This window comes from Homo sapiens, chromosome 4 (genome assembly GCF_000001405.40).
Source record: "Homo sapiens chromosome 4, GRCh38.p14 Primary Assembly".
Lineage (NCBI taxonomy): Eukaryota > Metazoa > Chordata > Mammalia > Primates > Hominidae > Homo > Homo sapiens.
The window spans coordinates 158298434-158307635 of record NC_000004.12 but is presented as its reverse complement, the minus strand read 5'-3'; the positions used below and the strand labels follow the sequence as shown (position 1 = coordinate 158307635).

At 38.9% G+C, this 9202-nt stretch overlaps 1 annotated feature.

The window, feature by feature from the left end:
* Positions 4785–5079: a silencer, noted in NCBI's record as "tiled region #15052; HepG2 Repressive non-DNase unmatched - State 24:Quies, and K562 Repressive non-DNase unmatched - State 24:Quies". NCBI's record gives its function as "represses a minimal TATA promoter and a strong SV40 promoter by Sharpr-MPRA in HepG2 and K562 cells {active_cell/tissue: HepG2 | K562}" and the evidence as "EXISTENCE:reporter gene assay evidence [ECO:0000049][PMID:27701403]".

The following is a 9202-nucleotide window of genomic DNA, read 5'->3' as shown; positions in this document are numbered from 1 at the left end:
CCCTTCCTTACACCTTATATGCAAATTAATTCAAGATGGATTAAAGACATAAACGTAAGACCTAATACCACAAAAACCCTAGAGGAAAACCTAGGCAATACCATTCAGGACATAGGCATGGACAGAGTCTTCATGACTAAAACACCAAAAGCAATGGCAACAAAAGCCAAAATTTACAAATGGGATCTAATTAAACTAAAGAGCTTCTGCACAGCAAAGAAACTATCATCAGAGTGAATAGGCAACCTACAGAATGAGAGAAAATTTTTACAATCTATCCATGTGACAAAGGGCTGATATCCAGCATCTGCAAAGAACATAAACAGGTTTACAAGGAAAAAAACAACCCCATCAAAAACTGGGCTAAGGATATGAACAGATACTTCTCAAAAAAAGACATTTATGTGGCCAACAAACATATGAAAAAAAGCTCATCATCACTGGTCATCAGAGAAATGCAAATCAAAACCACAATGAGATACCATCTCATGTCAGTTAGAATGGTGATCACTAAAAGTCAGGAAACAACAGATGCTGGAGAGGATGTGGAGAAATAGGACCACTTTTACACTGTTGGTGGGAGTATAAATTAGTTCAACCATTATGGAAGACAGTGTGGCAATTCCTCAAGTATCTAGAACCAGAAATACCATTTGACCCAGTGATCCCATTACTGGGCATATACCCAAAGGATTATAAATCATTTTATAAAGCCACATGCACAAGTATGTTTATTGCAGCACTATTCACAATAGTAAAGACTTGGAACTAACCCAAATGCCCATCAATCATAGACTGGATAAAGAAAATGTGTCACATATACACCATAGAATACTATGCAACAATAAAAAAGGATGAGTTCATGTCCTTTGCAGGGACTTGGATGAAGCTGGAAACCGTCATTCTTAGCAAACTAACACAAGAACAGAAGACCAAACACCACATGTTCTCACTCATAAATGGGAGTTGAACAATGAGAACACATGGACACAGGGAGGGGTACATCACACACTGGGGCCTGTCATTGGGTGGGAGTCTAGGGGAGGCATAGCATTAGGAGAAATATCTAATGTAGATGATGGGTTGATAGGTGCAGCAAACCACCATGGCCCATGTATACCTATGTAACAAACCTGCACATTCTGCACATGTATTCCAGAACTTAAAGTATAATAAAAAAAAATGGACAAGGAACATAACAGACACTTTTCAAAAGAAGGCATACAAATGGCCCACCAACATATGAAAAAATGCTTCACATCACTAATTATCACAGAAATGCAAATCAAAAACACAATGAGATGCCATCTCATACCAGTCAGAATGGCTATTATTAAAAAGTAAAAAAGAAGAAAAAAATCATATTTGGTGAGGCTGCAGAGAAAAGAGAATGCTTACACACTGTTGGTAGGAGTGTAAATTAGTGCAGCCACTGCAGAAAGCAATCTGGAGATTTCCAAAGAACTTAAAACAGAGCTACAATTTGACCCAGTGATCCTATTACTGGTTATATACTCAAAGGAAAATAAATCATTCTACCAAAAGGACACAATCACTCATATGTTGTACTATTCACAATAGCAAAGATATGGAATCAACTTAGGTGCACATCAATGGGTAGACTGGATAAAGATAATGTGGCACATATATACTGGGGAATACTACACAGCCATAAAAAAGAACAAAATTGGCTGGGCACAGGTGGCTCACGCCTGTAATCCCAGCACTTTGGGAGGCCGAGGAGGGCAGATCACGAGGTCAGGAGATAGAGACCATCCTGGCTAACACAGTGAAACCCTGTCTCTACTAAAAATATGAAAAAAATTAGCCACGTGTGGTGGTGGGTGCCTGTAGTCCCAGCTATTCAGGAGGCTGAGGCAGGAGAATGGCATGAACCTGGGAGGCGGAGCTTGCAGTGAGCCAAAATCATGCCACTGCACTCCAGCCTGGGTGACAGAGCGAGACTCTGTCTCAAAAAAAAAAAAAAAAAAAAAAAAGAACAACAAAAAAATAACAAAATCGTACCCTTTGCAGCAATATAGATGCAGCTGGAGGTCATTATCCTGAGCAAACTAATGCAGGAACAGAAAAGCGAATACCACATATTCTCACTTCCAAGTGAGCCAAACACTGAGCACACATAGGCATGTGCTCAATGCAACAATGGAACAATGGACACTGCAGACTACTAGAGGCAGGAAGGAGGGAGGGGAGAGTGGGTTGAGAAACTACCTATTGGGTACTATGCTCACTACCTGGGTGACAGAATCTGTACCCCAAACCCTGGCATTATACAATATATCCATGTAATAAACCTGCACATGTGCTCCTTGTATCTAAAATAAAAATTGAAATTTTTTAAAAAGATTACTTAATTCTTTAGGTAATGGTTAATATTAAGCAAAACAAAAACACTGTCATTTTACTTTCCAAGGCATTTGTGTTGGTGGTTTTCTTAATTTAGTATTTTATAAAGAGTGCTAAACCATATTTGTTAATATTTTTATTGACTGTCAGCAGATCCACAGTAGGTCTGTAACTGGTTGGTGTCAATACAAAGAAAATAATTTTGGAACAGTAATCTTCTGTTCCTTGTATGTGCTAATAGCTTTATTTCATCCTAGTATGGCAGTTTTAGAATATTAGAAAAGAGATAGTTGACTGTTACAAAGAATAAATAACACTTCATCAGAATAGAAAATGAGAAGGGAAACCCTCTGTAATTCAAAACCTTAGTACTGTATTAACTTGCTGCACACATACGACTAACTGGTAGAAGGAACTCTTAGGACCATGATGGTCTAACTTATTTACTCTTTCTCTTTTTTGAAGGGGAAAATAATAATGACCACTTGATATCATGTGGAAGAAAACCTTTCACTGGCCCCCTTCCTTGGGTTTCTATACCTTAGAGGGTTCTCTGCCCATCTGTGATGGCCATACTTCTCAGCTTCAGACAACGTAATGCCAGGGGAGAATCTCAGTGGAGTCCCATTAAGCACCCAGTGGCCCTGCAATTGGCACCTTCACTCATCACATTCTGTGGTTGCCTGCTTTGTCTTGATCAGCTGCCATTGTGAGACTGAGAAGACAAGGTTCTGTGGCGATGAAGCAACTTTGCATGGGGCCACTTTTGTGTTGACTGAGGAGGATGGAGAGGAGGATGAGATAAAGTGCCGAAACATGAAAAGATGCTGAAGCAATTCTCCATGAGAAATATATTTTCAAGTTATTAGAGATATATATTTCAGCAACTGGGCTTATTTGCATTAGCTTTTTATTTACCAAAGACCTTGGTTATATAATAAAAAGAAATTATTTTATATACCAAAATAGCATATCTGCATTCTAACTGCAAATATGTTTGACATTGACAGATATATTTTAACCTCCTCTTGCAAGTTTGATTGTACCAGTAACAACTGAGGGCATATTAATGGGAAGTGAGGTGTAATGGATTCTCTCTCCATCTTCTCCGGGTAGCATCCATCTCCTCCCTGCAAAGTGACAAGGTAAGGTCATCTTAAACAGTGCCTTATTGCAAATAATTTCATTTCATTAAATTACCAGAGAGATGCTGAAACTGCTTTTTGTTTCTTCTTTAGTGTATGGAAAACAAATCAATGTCAGAATACTTTTTGTTGCTATGACAGACTGAGAAGATGTGAGAAATCCTTCTCAATTTCAACATATAAATTTAGAAAGAAAATATAACAAAAAAAGCAAAAAACCCTGAAATATATACTTGAACTCCCCCAAAAAGGAGAATCATTGGACAAATAAATGGAGAGGAAATTAAAACTCAGGGCAATGAATAACATGGGATGTAAGGGCCTGACAAGGCAATAAGGATTAGTAGTGGGCACTATGTCTGCAGGTAAACAACTTGAAGGAACACATGACTTGAACGAGTCAGGTAAAGCAATAAATGGAAGAGTTTGCACAAATGTTGCAGGCACAAAAATATCTGGCAGACCATAGGGGTAACAACTAGGCAACATATAAAAGAATAGGTAAGTCTGAAAACAAACTAAAGAGGAAACTTTAAGAATAGTAAAATTTACAGAAACTGAAGTTTTAACAATGCGACTAAAAGATTGATCAGAAGAAATCAATGAAGAATAATTACTGAATTGGAAAATTAAAGAGAAAAACACCAAGAAATAAATCAGAGATGAAAAATATGAAACATCCATAGAGAATAAAATAAAAGAATTCCATTGATAAATGCTGATAAAATTCCAGGGAAAAAGAAAAAAAAGAGAATTAGGTCAAGGGAGGTGCTAACAGAGATAATGGCTCAGACCATCCCAGAACTGAAGATGGGTCTCAAGTTGAAGGAGTATATTAAGATCTAATGGGAAAAGCAAAAATGAATTATACCTAGAAAACCCAAAGCAACATTGCAGAATATCAAACAAACAAACAAACAAATCAAAACAAAACTTAGTTTAAACCAGACAGAAAAAAACAGAAAACCTATACAGGCATGAAAGTTAGACTGGCAGCTGATTTCTCAGTAGCTATACTGAATATTTCAAAACAGTGAAACCGTAGTTTCTATGTTCTGAAGCAAAATCACTATCAACCTATAATTCTATGCAGCTAAACTATAACCTGAGAATTAAGGTAAAATTAAGATATTTTTGGTCATATGAAGACTAAGAGGATATGTTTCAGAGGCATAAGTCACATTAATTTAGGTGTTAGCCTCTTGTTGGTGCTAATATCTTTGTTTGCAAGTTTTAATATTGAGAGATGCTGAATAACAAAAGAGTGGATGGAGATGTATTTGGTGGACTGGGGCTGACCATCCATTTCTCTCTCCTTCTGGTGTGACTTCTTGAATGAGAACTGTATAGGAGCATTAAAGCACGGTTCCCAGGCTCCTTGAAGTGAAATTCCAGCATGATTCAGAAACAATCAGATGTGCTCATGCAGGATCAGGATATGCTGGTTTTGCTCCTTTTGGCAAGCAAAGTTGTAGAACATTCTTCCTCTTTCTGGAATTTTGGCAGAGGCCTCAGGGACCATGTGCTACTTTTTCATGCATATTGAAAGGCAGGGTGGAGAGCATCTATTTTTTTTTTTAATGTAGATTGGAACAATTTGGCTTAGATCTTGAGACACTGATAGCAGAATTACAGTGATTTTCTGATTATGCTGGTTCCTTGTGTATGGTCCTTTGCTTATTGTAGTGACAAATTATAGCTGTGAAAGGGTGGTTCTGAAACAAGTGACTTCCTGATTATAGAAGAGGTAGCCACTTTTTGTAACCCAGTTCTGAAGTGTGGCCATAAAATATGCTGCAATGCCTTGCCCAGATTCCTTTCATTTGGCCAGTACGCCCATGCCCCAGGGGCTATTAGCTACTAACAGCTCATAACTGCTCTTCCTCTCTGAAGAAATGCCCTGAGATGATGGTATGCAGATCACCTGGAAAGTTATGCACCATCCTCCAGGGACAGCCCTCAGCCAATGTCTGAATGACAAGAGGGTATAAAAAGCCAGTCTTCTTATCTCAAGGGTAACCAACTCTGTGGGGGTGACTTGTGCTTAGAGCTCACTTGTAAGATCAGGTTGAAAACAGTCTCCATCTGAAACTTTATTTTCACTTCATTTGTGTTTCCCTCCCCTAAGCTCGTTCTTTCCTCTCCTTCTCCACTCCCTGAATAAATTTTGAACAAGAATCCTTTTCTCAGGCTCTGCTTCTAGGGAACCACATCTTGGATAGTTGTGTGCCAGGAGTGGGCCTATGAAACAGACCATTAGGGTAGGATTTGACTCTTCTCAGCTGGATTACAAAAAAGATCCAGTTACTGGTGGTAGGTGGAATATTAATAGTGACTAGCATGTTGGACCAGTAAGATTGCTAAGACTTTCCCCTGTGGTGAGCTGGGATGGGATACAGATGAAAGAAGATACATGAGACAGTATAGTTTCTTGAGCATTTGAGAAGATTGGGGAAATCATAACTATAAGGACTATGGAGTTGGATGTCTGCTGCTAATCGCAAATGATTTGTTGAAAAGAGAAAATGACAGGCTTACATATATTAAGAACTTAAAGTTTAGAGTGACATTCAAAGGACTTTTTGAAAGTGTTTCACGAAACTCTCATCTTCCACAGCCAGAGGGCCAACAGAGCTGATGATTTAGGCCCAGGACTTAATTGTAGAAGTGGAAGAGGCTTCAAGGGAGGCTGAATTTTCAGTGTTGGTAAGTCTCCCATGCTGAAGCGAGGACACTGCTAGGGAAGGAGTGAAACCCTGAAACTTGAGACCTAAGGTGATGCATTTGAGAACCTTGAATCCAGCTTCCCTTGAATCTTTTGCAGAGTGGTAAATTCTCTCATGTTCCAGAATAGAAGTCTCAAAAACAATGCTTGTCAAAAAGCAATCGGCCCTCATATTCACCACTGACCAACAAAACCATAGCAAGTCAAATCTCAGCTTATCTTGATGAGGGATGTGATGGGGCTGTCAAAGGAGGAAATATTGTAGGACAAAGGAAGTGCAGAATATGGTTACCTTGTGTTGGATGACACTGTCTTGAGGGCTTCTGCTAAACAAAGGAAAGTTTGTCAATAGGGAGCATTCTATGTGACACAGTTTTTAACACTCAGGCATGAGCTGTGGTAATACTTTCTAGATTGGCACCCAGAAGCCTGTGAGGTATGACCTGCAATCAAAGAAAAGGCAAAGAGCTGTTGTGGCCAGTTGCGAAGGAAGGGATAGGTTCAGAGAATTGGGAATGCTAATATTTTCCTCAGGAAGACCTAGAGGACATTCTGCTCACAAAGTCAGTAAGAATCTACTGTGAAGTGGGACATGAGGATCATTGGTTACATCAGTAATGGCTGTTTTCTCTGTTAGAGAGAACGGTTGGAGCTGTTATAGAAAGAACTAGGCTCCTGACTCGCAACGCAAATGGTAGAATTCTAGAATAGCAGAGGATAGGCACTAAACCATCAGATGCAATGAGGAGCACCTGAAATATATTTTAGTATTCTCTTGATAATTACTGAGTACACTAGGAAGAGGGAAAATCACAAGTCACATTGTCTATTAAAATGCAAAAATATTAAACAGAAATATTAATACATTGAATGTAGCAATATATATAAATCAATGTGTGTGTATGTATGTGTACATATACATATGCACAACAAATTGAGCTTATTCCCCAAGAAGGTGTTTAACACTAGAAAATTAATGTAATTTGCCATACTAAAAGAATAAAAAAGTAAAATCATGTCATTATTTCTGATACAGAAAAAGAATTTATAAAATACAAGAAGTATTTAAGATTAAAAAGGAACAGCAAAACCTCAAACAAAAATCAAGTACAAAGTGAAATTCCTTAATCTGTTAAAAGGTAAACACCATAAATAATGGTGACATATCGAAAGCATTCCTTTTAACAACAGGAAAAAGACAACAGTAACTGCTAACGTCACTTTGTTTAACATTTTCCTGGAATTTCTATTCAGTGCAATAAAAAAAAACAGGGATTAAAAATAAAAAATATTATGTACTGATGATATGTGCGTGTAGTTAGAAAATCCCAAAGATTTGTAGCTCTATTTTAGAAATTATGAGCTGGTCAATTTTCTTGGATGCAAAATAAATGTACCAAAAGCAATTGCATTTCTATATAGCAACAACAAACAGATGGTAAAGGTAAAAAATACGGCTCAACACAAACGTAGAAAGAAAGTGCAAGCAATCATAGGGAGGTCTGAAAACTACCAGACACAGCCCTAGGGCCCTTTTTCAGTTGCACAGCATATGTCAACTTCAGATAATGAACCATCAAGATATGCACAGGCTATCCTAGTTTTAGGGGAGCCCAGGAAATAAATATGTAGAGAGGTCTTTCATATACTCCGAGCCACACAGCTAAAGCCAGGCTGTAAAATTGGTCAAACTAGGTGCAAACCAGTAATTTATATATTTTTAAACTAAGTAAGCTAGTTAGTACAGAGTCCTTCCAAAAGAGTTTCAGTTTTTAAACAGCATAATATAAATCATTAACTAGTATACCTAATCCTACTTTGGCCAAGGGTCATACCAGACTTCCGTGCATCCCTGCAGATAAGCATAGTGCTGTTTCAGTCCAGCTGCAAGATAACCCTATTTTCACCAAGTCTTACATCTACTTTATATGAAAACATCTGAAACAAAAGTTACACATTAACCTTTGTTCATTCTGCATGTTGGATAGAGAAATATTTATTACAGTACTCTCTGAGCTTGCCTGTATTTTTTTGTTTTGTTTGGTTTGGTTTGGTTTTGTGAGACAGAGTTTCCCTCTTGTCATCCAGGCTGGAGTGCAATAGCACGATCTTGGCTTACTGAAACCTCCACCTTCCAGGTTCAAGCGATTCTCCTGCCTCGGCCTCCCAAGTAGCTGGGATTACAGTTCCACATTGCCACGCCTGGCTAAATTTTTGTATTTTTAGTAGAGATGGGGTTTCACCATGTTGGGCAGGCTGGTCTCAAACTCCTGACCTCAGATGATCCACCTGCCTTGGCCTCCCAAAGTGCTGGGATTACAGGCATGAGCCACCATGCCTGCAGGGTCTGACCTGCAGACGCTGGTGGAGCGACAGACGAACAAATGTATGCAGACACAGATTTTTTGCCTGGGCCGGTGGCTAGGGGACCAGGCGGCTCACAGACACTGAGGAGGGTGCCATAAAGAGTCACAGCAGCCACAGCCCTGACAAGCCGGTGCTGTGGGCATTTATTTAGTACAGATTTAATGACAAAAGCTTTGAGTCAACACAACTTGTGGGTAATTAACATGGTCACGCCCTCCCTCACCACCCCACCATTCCCCAGAGAGCAGTCCTGTGTGCGGATGATTAAAGGCCAGGTTCCAAGGCCTAAGCAAACTAACTTATCTAAATCAATTCCCTTGCACTTCCTTGTTATCTACCCTGAGAGAATTCAGCTGCCTTCAGCCAAATCCTCTTTTGAAGCTTTTGCAAAACCTCCTGGCCTTCCAATAAGGTTTGCATCTTTTTCTTATAATTTCTCGCACCAGCCTGACTGATCTTCTATATCTACCCCTTTTCTGTTTGTTTTTTTTTTTTTGTTGTTGTTGTTGTTTTTTGCATCAGGTTTTGTTAATTGAAGAGCACAGATGTGTGCAGCAACAGGTTTGTCTGGCGCAGAAGTCACTGCTCATGTTGTGGC